This window comes from Homo sapiens, chromosome 1, assembly GCF_000001405.40.
Source record: "Homo sapiens chromosome 1, GRCh38.p14 Primary Assembly".
Taxonomy (NCBI): domain Eukaryota; kingdom Metazoa; phylum Chordata; class Mammalia; order Primates; family Hominidae; genus Homo; species Homo sapiens.
In genome coordinates this window covers 211,783,527-211,796,095 of record NC_000001.11, presented here as the reverse complement: position 1 = coordinate 211,796,095, position 12,569 = coordinate 211,783,527, and the positions used below count along the sequence as shown (strand labels likewise).

Genomic DNA, 12,569 nt, shown 5'->3' with positions numbered 1-12,569 from the left:
CATATATGCCTTCCCACTGCATGGGCCTAGGTATCTAGTATTTTCCACTCATGTAGCACAGATTGCGTTAAAGGACTATTTGGTGATGAGACATCTATTAATACAGATGGAGAGCCAGAAAACTGTCCACATTACCTCTTAATAGCCCACTATTTATAGAACCAAGCTAGACTTTTCTTGAGTTTTAACTGCTGTTCACTTTAGAATAATACTTGAAATGTTCTTACTTATTTTATATCCACAACACCTAACCATGCCTGATGCTGATTTATTGAATGAAGATTGTATTAATGAAAGAATGTTGTGCATGTGTGTGTGTGTTTGTGTGTTTGTATGTCCGTGTGTCTCCATTGGAGGGTTGTCAACAGGGGCATATGGGGAGTTTTCATTTGGTTAGTATATTCTCTGTCCTTTTTAAAAACATAACTAGGCTGGGCGCGGTGGCTCAGGCCTGTAGTCTCAGCACGTTGGGAGGCCGAGGTGGGCGGATCACCTGAGGTTGGGAGTTGAAGACCAGCCTGACCAACATGGAGAAACCCCGTCTCTACTAAAAATACAAGATTAGCCGGGCGTGGTGGCGCATGCCTGTAATCCCAGCTACTTGGGAGGCTGAGGCAGGAGAATCGCTTGAACCTGGGAGTCGGAGGTTGCGGTGAGCTGAGATCACGCCATTGCACTCCAGCCTGGGCAACAAGAGCGAAACTCCGTCTCAAAAACAAAAAAACCAAACAAACAAAAAACACAACTAGTGGCATCCATCATCCTATTCTACACTTTGCTTTTATTACTTAAAGTATATCATTTCATCTTAGTACATAAGTGCTATGTTTGCATAATATTCCATTGCATAGATATAATTTATTTAGGTAGTCTCCCTTAAAAATGTTTTTAATTGTGGTAAAATACGCTAACATAAAATTCACCATCTTAATTTTTCAAGTGTACAGTTCAGTCTTGTTAAGTATATTCACATTGTTGTGGAACCGATATCTAAAACTTTTCCATCTTGTAAAACTGAAACACTGTACTCATTAAACAACAATTTCCCCCTCCCCCAGCCCCTGGCAACCACCATTTCTATGAATTTGAGTTAGCTTCTCTTTCTAGTTGTTTTCATCTTTGCTTTTACAATCAAAGCTGCAGTGAGTAGCCTTGTGTACATGTCATTTTGCACATAAATGAGTATATCTGTAGGATGCATTTCTAGAAGTAGAATTCCTAGGTAAAAAGGTTTGTGCATTTATTAATTTTGAAATATAGTGCAAAATTGGCTTCTAAACAGGTCTCCCTATCCCTATTTCATCCTGAGCTTTTACACACAGGTGGCTTGAATTCTTTCCTTGCAGCAGTGAGTGAGATAAGGTTAGGGTAAAGAATACTAATGTAGAATTGGCCTTTGATAATTCATATCAAAAAATGCTAGAAGATTCTTTGCAGAATTCTGATGTTTGAAAACTGAGGCTTGACATAAATTTACTGTAAAATGAGGTGGCCGAGTGCAGTGGCTCATGTCTGTAATGTCAATACTTTGAGAGGCTGAAGCCGGTGGATTGCTTGAGCCCAGGAGTTTGAGATCAGCCTGGGCAACATGGCAAAACCCTGTGTCTACAAAAAAAATACAAAAGTTAGCTGGACTTGGTGACATGCACCTGTATAGTCCCAGCTACTTGGGAGGCTGAGGTAGGAGGGTCACTGAGCCCAGGGAGCTTGAAGCTGCAGTGAGCCATTGTGATTGCACCATTGCACTCCAGCCAAGGTAACAGAGCAAGATCCTGTCTCAAAAAAGTTAAAAATAAATATAAAATGAAATGAGGCATAACTACATAGAAATACCACTGTTTCCCTTAGAATGTACGTATAGATTTTGGCGCAGTGACTTTTCATCTGATAACTTCAAATAATTTGGCATTTGTATTAGTTTTATTATTTTAAGGTGAAAGTATGCATTATTATGTCTGAATGTTTTCTTATAAAATAGAATCTGAAGGGTTGGGAACCACCTCTCATTGATGATCGGTATTAACAGTTTGAAATTTATTTTTCTAGACGTTTTTCAGTGCATTGAACAACACATGGATGGTATTCCTGCTTTAAAAAGATGGGATCATGCTATATTTACTGTTTTGTGATTTGCTTTGTTAGTTGATAATACATCTTTTTTGGGTTAGTGAATAAGAGATATCCTCCATTATTTTAACGGGTTTATACTCTCCTATTACATCATAATTTTCTTGTCCATTCCCTTGTTGGTGAACATTTAAGTTGTGATAAACATTCTTTATACATATATCTTTGCTTATTTGAACAAGTTTCTGTAGGATAAATTCTAGGAAATAGAACTTCTAGATCAAAGGTATGACCATAGCTGGGCACAGTGGCTCACGCCTGTAATCTCAGCACTTTGGGAGGCCAAGGCAGGTGGATCACTTGAGGTCAAGAGTTTGAGACCAGCCTGGCCAATATGGTGAAACCCCATCTCTACTAAAAATACAAAAATCAGCTGGGCGTGGTGGTGTGCACCTGTAATCCCAGCTACTTGGGAGGCTGAGGCAGGAGAATTGCTTGAACCCGGGAGGTAGAGGTTGCAGTGAGCCAAGATCGCACCACTACACTCCAGCCTGGGTGACAGAGCTAGACTCTGTCTCAAATATAAATAAATAAATAAATAAATAAATAAATAAATAAATAAATAATGATAATTTTATATTTTAATGTATATTTGGGGGCTCTATAAAAGTTATATTAACATTCTGATTTGCACAGGAAATAAACTTAGTTCTAAACTTTCGGATGTTTTAGCTAGGTGACATATCATCATTAATATACATCATTTTTTCTAATATAAGGTTTGTGATAATATAAAAATCTTTAAAATGACAGCTTTGAAACTTTTTTGTTCTTACAGTGATGGAATGGGGAGAAGATATTAAAGCAGTTTCAAAAGATGAAGCAGTGATGTTGGTGAATCATCAGGCAACAGGAGATGTGTGCACACTGATGATGTGCCTCCAGGACAAAGGACTGGTAAGCTACCCTGAAGGCAGTAGATAGACATCCAGAAAGGAAGGTTAAAAAGGAATCCATTTGGCCGGGCATGGTGGCTCATGTCTGTAATCCCAGCACTTTGGGAGGCTGAGGTGGGTGGATCATGAGGTCAAGAGATCGAGGCCATCCAGGACAACAGGGTGAAACCCCATCTCTACTAAAAATACAGAAATTAGCTGGGCGTGGTGGTGTGCACCTGTAGTCCCAGTTACTCGGGAGGCTGAGGCAAGAGAATTGCTTGAACCCGGGAGGCAGAAATTGCAGTGAGCCGAGATCACGCCACTGTACTCCAGCCTAGCAACAGAGCAAGACTCCATCTCAAAAAAAAAAAAAAAAAAAGGGAATCAATTCAAATATCTTACTGTGCTTTGAAATATAGACATAGACTTTAATATGTATACTTTAAATAAAAATTTAGAAAATATTAAAAGAAAAAATATATCATTCTAAGTCACCCAGAAGTGGGAATGTAGAGACTTAAAAAAAAAAAAAAACTGGGACAATGTGAATTATATTTCAATAAGACTGTTTTAAAAAATAGTAACTGGGAGGAAAGCAGGTTAATATAGTTCAAATTGAGGGCTGTCTGGAGGTGAAGCAGTGGATTGCTAGTTTGAAAAATACAAACACAAAAAGCAGCTTTAGCCTGGCACAGTGGTGCCACTTGTAGTTCCAGCTACTCGGGAGGCTGAGGCAGGAGGATCGCTTGAGCCCAGGAGTTTGGGCTGTAGTTCTCTATGCTGATAGGCAGTCTGCACTAAGTTGAGCATAAATATGGTGACCTCCTGGGAGCAGTGAACAACTAGGTCACACAAGAAGGGTGAACCAGCCCAGGGTGGAAATGGAGCAGGCCAAAACTCCTGTGCTGATCAGTAGTGGGATCATGCCTGTGAAGAGCCACTGCACTCCAGCCTGGGCAGCACAGCAAGACCCCATCTCTAAAACAAAAGATTGGGGGAATATTGCTTATGATAGAATAAATATTTATAAACTGAGTGGATTTAAAAAATAAATTCAGTCTTTAGCCTTAGGAGAATTATCACCTTAGAAGTTAAAGAGGTTATGTTCATAGAAAACTAAATAAGGTGTATAAATTAATGGAGTTAATGTGTGACCTAATGGAAGTTCATTAAGGGCTTAGTAGTTATGATCAGTGACTATAGGAAGTGTAAACACCATCCTGTAAGATACAATTCATCTTATCAAGGTGCTGACAGCCTAGTGGCAGGTAGAAGAAGGGTATCACAAACAATGTTTTTTTTTGTTTTTTTTTTTTGTTTGTTTGTTTTTTTTTTTTTTTTTTTGAGATGGAGTCTTGCACTGTTGCCCAGGCTGGAGTGCAGTGGCACAATCTTGGCTTGCTGCAACCTCTGCCTCCTGGGTTCAAGCAATTCTTGTGCCTCAGCCTCCCAAGCAGCTGGGACTATGGGCACGGGTACCATGCCTGGCTAATTTTTGTATTTTTAGTAGAGACGGGGTTTCGCCATGTTGGCCAGGCTGCTGGTCTCAAACTCCTGGCCTCAGGTGATCCACCCACTCTTGGCCTCCCATAGTACTGGGATTACAGGCATGAGCCATAAACAATACTTAATTGACAAGTGAGATGGCTTCAGTGGAGGGTAAGTGCACTGTGTACCTCATGGACATAGAAAACTTTATGAAGGGGAGAGGACATAAACTTGGCCTTGAAGGATGAGTAGAATTTAGGTAGACTGGTAAAGCAAGGACTTCTTTCTTAATGAAACAATCTTGGCAAAAACATCAAAGTGAGAATAAGCCCTGGTGTGTTTAGGTTCCAGAGATTTTGATTCACTAGGTTAGGGTAGGGTCAGAAAATGAGAGGAGATTAAATAAAAATATGTTTTATTATTGCAGAATCTGTTTTTCTTGTCTATCTGAAAAGCAGAGGGATAATCTCACTGGAATGTGGAAAAATTAAATCCTTTCTTAGATTCAGGATCTTGAATTGTTAAGAGTATCACCATGTAGATATATTTGCATTTATAATAATATTTATTGCCTGTCCTCTAAGTTCATGACGTTAAAATTTTGCAAAACTAGTTGATTTGGCTTTCTATAAAAGAGAATCTCCAATTAGTTAACATTGTAACTCTTACAGATAGGATCATTACATTTATAGTGATTATCCTGAGGGCCTACAATGTCCTTAAGTGTTTTTTGAAACTCGTGATTAAAATGGTCAATATAAATATGTCTAACTGTATTCTAACACCAGTTTGGCATAGATGATAACTGTATTAACTAGAATATTAGGTAATTTAAAATTCCCCAGTCATGTGGACAAAAGAAAGTTTGGTTGGCTTGTTTGCCTTTATAAAAATATTTAAGTTAGTTAGGCTAGGTTCATTTTTCTATCCCAAGTAATTTTTTTTTATTTTGAGATTAGTTAATACTAAATAATGCTCTGATAATATTGAATACTTTGAAATCTAGAAGAATATTTTATTTTCTTTCATAAAGGAGTAACAGAATATAAGGGTGGAAGCATTATAATCTTTCCCTGCTGCCTAATAATTACAGAGCAATATAATTTGTATTCACTAGTAGGAATGTTTACTTGATTTATTTTATACTTTATGGATACCTTCAAATAAGGAAGGCTATATTGTGGGCCAGTTGAAAAATATTGCTTTGATGGTAATATAATTATAACATAGCTTTTTGAATTCAGGGGACTTCTTGAAGCCCCCATTAGTTTCTCAGTGGGAGTACTGTTGGCATTTTAATAGGACAACAGTGTTGCTGAGAACTGTCCTGGGCATTGCCAGACGTTTTGTGTACCCAACTGCCACACACTAAATGCTAGTAGCACTCCTTAGTCCTTGTTGTCACAAGGACCAAAATTATCCTGCAGTTTCCATACTCACCCAATGGAAAACCATTGACCTTATTATAATTTCAAAAGGACAGAAAGAGTGCAGTCATTTAAGTCTCTAGACGATGTTTTGATACGTAGAAAATCTGTGCATCCAGATAAAGAATAATTGATATAGATTGATTTTGTCTCTTAGAAATAATGGAAAAGTTCTGAGGGACAGACCTATCAAACATTGACAGAGTTGATTTAGGCAGCTTATGTTTACTCATCCTTCTTTTGAAGAATATGAAACAAAGGATTAATTGTGTTTTCTGAAAGTGTTGGTACTTTTTTTTTTTTTTTGAGACAGAGTCTTGCTTTGTCGCCAGGCTGGAGTGCAGTGGTGCCATTTCAGCTCACTGCAACCTCCGCCTCCTGGGTTCAGGCAGTTCTCCTGCCTCAGTTCTCCTGAGTAGCTGGGACTACAGGTGTCCGCCACCACACCCGGCTAATTTTTGTATTTTTAGTAGAGACGAGGTTGACCAGGATGGTCTCGATCTCTTGACCTCGTGATCCGCCCACCTCAGCCTCCCAAAGTGCTGGGATTATAGGCGTGAGCCATCGTGCCCAGCCTGGTACCCTTATAATAAGTGTCTGTGAATTGTCTTGGCCTTTTATGACAATTTATGATAAAACTAAGAATTTTTATTTCTGTCAAAAGAACTTTATTAAATGTTTTATAAACATTTATTGACTTATAACATTTCCCCTAAAATAAGTTGGAACAGAGCTGTCCTTACAAATCTCAGGAAATAGTTTGGGTATCTTTACTGAATTTATGTTTTAAGTGACCCTTCTAACTGAAGAGATAAATCCACCATGAATGAAAGGTTAAATATAAAAGCTAGTTATTTGGCATTTAAAACCCAGAAGTCAATAAATTACAACTACACTTCTTAATGTATCTAAAGCTAAAATGCTTTATAGGTTGAATCCACTGCTTTTTGTTTGTTTTGGGGACACTGTTCAACAAATTTCATTTAGTCCAAATCTCAGCTTATTTAAACATAGTACTGTAATCATCATTGCAAAGCAAAACAAGATGGGATGCTGGTGATTATCTTACTCTATATTAATTGATTGAGGAATCAGTTCTTTCTTTACTAGGCATATATCTTCATTTTTAAAAAAAGATTTAATATTGTAAAGCTGATGGAGTAGGAGTTGTGTAGCTGGAAAACTAAGGCAGAAGCTGTAATATTATATCATCTGTGGGCTTTTATAATGCTTTTATAAAAGCAGCACATGGATATCAGTGTTTTAGTTTTTTCCATATGTGTAGGTTCACATCAGTTGGTTCTTAGAGATGATGTTTACATCTACTGTTCCCCTGGGAAACCAAAGTAGAGCTTATTGCATTCTTGACTGAGGTTGTAGCTTTCACTTTAGTTAAGGCTTATAACAAGGAATGCTATTTCCTCAGCAGGAAAGAACAATTAACCGATTCATTAATTAGATCCCGTTTGTACTTTTAATTTTTTTTTTTTTTTTAATAAAGAGTCTCTCTCTGTCACCCAGGCTGGAGTGCAGCGGCTCGATCTTGGCTCACTGCAACCTGTGCCTCCCGGGTTCAAGCAATTCTCCTGCCTCAACCTCCCGAGTAGCTGGGATTACAGGCACGCACCACCACGCCTGGCTAATTTTTGTATTTTAGTAGAGATGGGGTTTCACCATTTTGGCCAGGCTGGTCTTAAACTCCTGACCTCAAGTGATCCACCTGCCTCTGCCTCCTAAAGTGCTGGGATTACAGGCGTGAGCCACTGTGCCTGGCCTGTAGTTTTAATTTTTAAATTTGCGTGAAAGAAAGTCTTCTGCCCTCAATATTGGTATTAACTCTTATCAGCAGTGGATAATATTTTTCTGTTTAAGGACTGAGGCACTACAAATATTTTTATCCTGGCAAAGACCATGATTTTACATAAACTAATAAATATTCTTCATAATAGAATATGTAAATCATTCTATTAATTTTTAAATGTTTTATTTGGGACACTACATTTTTATACTTTGCCATGAAGCTACACTCAGATTTTATAAAGCCACAGTGAATGTTCATTAAATATATAGTCTTGTTTGATAACTTAACCATTTTATTATATTGTTTCAAAATAATTTTGTAAGTTATATAAGAATTATCAGAGACTTTGGGGTAGAACAAATTTGAAATCATTAAGTCCAAATTTAAGAAGTTAATTGAGTTTCATTTTTTATATAGTGATATATGTACCTGTGACTTAGGATTCGAAGACTTGGAATCAAGACCTGTAATTTTTCATGTAGACACTATTAGTAACTGTGCTTTGTTTGTAGAAATAGAGTTAGACTTAAGATATTTTGGTTAATTAAAAGTATGCTTGGATGATTATATTTAAAGCTTGGAGACTCAGCTCAACTATAGTCAGGTTTCTTCTATCCAATATTATTTCTTGCTTTTAAATATTTTAGGTTGTTGCTCAGATGATGTGGTTGATGGATCATATTTTTAAGTACACAAACTTTGGAATTGTTTCTCTAGTTCATGGAGACTTCTTTATAAGACAGGTAAGTAATGAGCACTTTTTCCCCGCAGTGATAGCCTGGTCAAATTGATTCTTGATTATAAAAAGAGGTATAACAAAACCAATTATAATAGGTAGGGCTGCTTCTAACCAGTCTTAGGGAGCTTTTTTTTTTTTTTTTTTTTGAGAGACAGAGTCTCGCTCTGTCGCCCAGGCTAGCGTGCATTGGCACCATCTCGGCTCACTGTAACCTCCACTTCCTGGGTTCAAGTGATTCTCATGCCTCAGCCTTTGGAGTAGCTGGGACTATAGGCATGCCACTACGCCCAGCTAATTTTTGTATTTTTAGTAGAGATGGGGTTTCACTGTGTTGGTTAGGGTCTCAAACTCCTGACCACAAGTGATCCACCCGCCTGGCCTCCCAGAGTGCTGGGATTACAAGTGTGAGCCACTGGCCACTGTGCCAGGCTCAGGGAGCTCTTTCTCGGAATCTTTGTTCCCTAACCATTTATTTCAATCTAAATTTGAGTATGGATAAGTATTAAAATACTTAAAATGCAAATATTCTAATCTCTACTCTTCTCCCATTTAGAAGGTACATTTTTAGTTTAGTAAACATTCCCCACTATTCAGTTTCTTAGCTATGTGAATTGGGCAAATTATTTAAATCCTCAAGTTTCTTGTTTTCCAAACTTGAATAATATGTAGTATCCCCCACAATGGTTGTTGTGGGGATTAAATGAAGTAATAGCTATAAAGCACTCAGAACAGTGCCTACTACCTTCATCATCATTTTTATCTTGATTACTACTATTGTATCACTATTACTTTTATTTACAAGGCACTGTTGTATAATATAGTAGATATCTAAATTACTAGTAGGCAGATTATTAAATAAATTAATAAATAAGTTAATGTAATAATAATAATGGGAGATGTTTTGGGAATTCATAGTAGGAAAAATAAGTATATCAGTTTTATGTGAATCCAGAAAAACTTCAGAGAAGATGATATTTGGCACAAGTTTTAAAGAATAGGTATGGATTTGATGGAGGAAGGTGAATTGGGAAGTCCCAAGCATTAGGAATAGTTTAGTGTAGGAAGAAGAATGATAGCCTCTTATCAGCACTACATTATTTTCTTGACTTGTTACTAGTATTATATGCTTTATTTTCACCAGAATGGATAACTGAAATATGGTATGTACGAGCTTTTATGCATGACAATACCACAGTTATTTGGTGTTTACATATTTAACAACCTGGATTGTGCCGTGCTTTGCACATAATTATTACTTAATGAATAATTGGTGAATCTAATTAAGCCTTTTCCAAGAACCACAAATTCAGAAATAAGCTGGAATTGAGTAGAGAAACTTCTAAGTTCTGTGAAAATAAGTGTCACAAAACACATGTACTTTACTCCAGACAGTTTTATGTACTGGACATTATATCATTTCATTTTGGAAACATCCTTTGTTCTTCTGAGCAGAGAAACAAATATAAGCATACCCTGGAACCACAAGAAGTGGCAATGGGGAGTGGACACAAGGTCAAGACAAAATAAACTGATCAGGACAACTTAACAAAGATCCTAGTGTAATAGCTCAGAGAAGGCAGCGGAACCAACAATTAGAAAGCTTAGCAGTCTCAGGGATCCGAAAAGCTAGCTGAGCACCTTACCTCATTTCCAGCTTTAGGAAATAATTGAATTTACAGTGTAGTGTAACAGTTGATTCTAATGATGATCATCAGGCATCAAGAAGAGGGGCTGGGCTCGGTGGCTCATGCCTGTAATCCCAGCACTTTGGGAGGCCGAGGTGGACAGATTGCTTGAGGCCAGGAGTTCGAGGCCAGCCTGGCCAACATGGTGAAGGCCTGTTTCTACTAAAGATACAAAAATTGGCTGGGCATGGTAGCATGAACCTGTAGTCCCAGCTACTTGGGAGGCTGAGGCAGGAGAATCGCTTGAACCTGGGAGGCAGAGGTTGCAGTGGGCCGAGATTGCGTCACTGCACTCCAGCCTGGGTGACACAGCAAGATTCCATCTCAAAAAAAAAAAAAAGAGGCTAAATTATACTAGATTATCGGTGTACTTTTAGATAAAAGTTGAAAATTAGGTACTCCAAAATATTTTCTTGTGATTACTATGTGAAGTTTTGCATACATAAAGATTATATTTCGAAGTTTCTGGAAAGTTTACAAATTTATTTCTAAAGAGCAACGTGTTTTTCCCCGATAGATTAGTAATAAAAATCTATAACATGAGGGGAAGGAAGGGAAAAAGCATTAATGTTTAAAAGAAAAATTCTCTTGAGACTTTGCTACTAGACCATTTTGACAAGCTTTTCCAAGAATAGTAAAAATATTTTACGTATAATCTTGAGAACTTAATAGCTATCTTAATCATAATCAGTTCACTTCAGCAAACTGACTAACAAAATGTCTTACATGTTTTGCATTTGGGATACATTTGATCTAAAGACTGAAAGCATACTAATTATTTTGAGGAGTTTCTGTAATTTTGTTGGCTGGAAAATGTTGGCAAACTGATCACACTGAAAGAAAGAACCGGCTGGGCGCAGTGGCTCACGCCTGTAATCCCAGCACTTTGGGAGGCCAAGGGGGGCAGATCACAAGGTCAGGAGATCGAGACCATCCTGGCTAACACGGTGAAATCCCATCTCTACTAAAAACAAAAAAAATTAGCCGGGTGTGGTGGCAGGCGCCTGTAGTCCCAGCTACTCGGGAGGCTGAGGCAGGAGAATGGCGTGAACCCGGGAGGCAGAGCTTGCAGTGACCCGAGATCGCACCACTGCACTCCAGCCTGGGCAACAGAGCGAGACTCTGTCTCAAAAAAAAAAAAAAAAAGAAAGAACCTTTGTGATATTTAGTTGTAAGCTTTGGGCCTTCCTACAAATTTTTCTGGATTCTTCTTTTTAGACTTCAGGTCATCTTCTTTTCTCTCTTTCCCTCTCAACTAAGATACAGTCCATTAGAATGTCTTTTTTAGCTTTACTTTCACATTTTTCCTAAATGTAACTACTTGTTATCAATACAATATAATTGAATCTCATCAAATTCCCTTGTGTGGAATACTGCAAGTCTTCTAACTTATCTCCTGTGGTCTTTTGGTCACAGGAACCAGCAGATTTTCTTTCTTTTTTCTTTTTTTTTTTTTTTTTGAGACAGGGTCTCACTCTATCACCCAGGCTGGAGTACAGTAGTACCATCAGGGCTCACTGCATCCTCGAACTTGTGGGCACAAGTGATCCTCCTGCCTCAGCCTCCTGAGTAGCTGGGACCACTAAATGTGCCATCGCACCCAGCTAATTTTTGTATTTTTTGTATAGACGGGGTTTCACCATGTTGCCCAGGCTGGTCAGATTTTTTTAAACAGAAATAAGATTATAACACTTCCTTGTTCAAAACTATCCAAAGATGTCCTCTCCAAAACTACTTACCATGCATAAGGCTTTTCTCATTTGGTCTCCACCTCCCTCTGCAGCTTCATTTCCTACCCCTGACTTCCTTGTTTATCACACTTCAGCCACACTGGCCTTGGTGCTGTTCTTTGAACATGCCATACTCGTTCCCACCAAATGACCTTTGTCCTTTTTGTTTTGTCACCTGGAATATTATGGCTTGCATCTTCACATGACTTATTCCCTCACATTATCAGTTCTGCTCAAATGTCACCTCCTCATAGCAGCTTTCTCTGACCCTCTTGACCCTTTCTATCCTTTTACTGTTTTCTTCCTAACACATATTACTAGTTGAATTTGCACTCCACATTTACCATCTTCCCAAACTAGAATGTAAGCTCCATGAAAGTCTCTTTATTTCCTCCTCTATGTCTAGTGCCTAGGACAATGCGTGGCACATAGCAGGCACTCAGTAAGTAGTGACTGAATTGATGAATGACTGCACTTTCAAGGGCAATCAGAACAATTTCCTTTTCCTTCAGAAAGAAAGGTTTATTTATATAAATGCTAATAACTTCTCTCTTTTTACCCCTGTGGTCAAAAAGGGCAGTAAGTTGGGGTGGGGTGGGGGAATCACTATTCTATTCTGTGATTGGATTTTAATTTAGAAGCTGTAATTTCTGTTTAATTTTATGGCATTTTAATTTTGGATATACCTGTACTT

At 38.0% G+C, this 12,569-nt stretch overlaps 1 protein-coding gene and 1 pseudogene across 10 annotated transcripts in view; both read left to right on the top strand.

Annotated features, from left to right (window-relative positions):
- Positions 1–12,569, top strand: part of LPGAT1 (lysophosphatidylglycerol acyltransferase 1) — an 87,307-nt gene that overhangs the window by 34,668 nt on the left and 40,070 nt on the right. For all 10 annotated transcript variants that reach the window (NM_014873.3, NM_001375841.1, NM_001375844.1 and 7 more), the window contains 2 exons: positions 2,906–3,024; positions 8,369–8,464. In NM_014873.3, coding sequence (NP_055688.1) covers positions 2,906–3,024; positions 8,369–8,464 — 215 coding nt within the window. The remainder of the gene's footprint in view (positions 1–2,905; positions 3,025–8,368; positions 8,465–12,569) is intronic.
- RN7SL344P (RNA, 7SL, cytoplasmic 344, pseudogene) lies at positions 3,690–3,985 on the top strand (annotated as a pseudogene).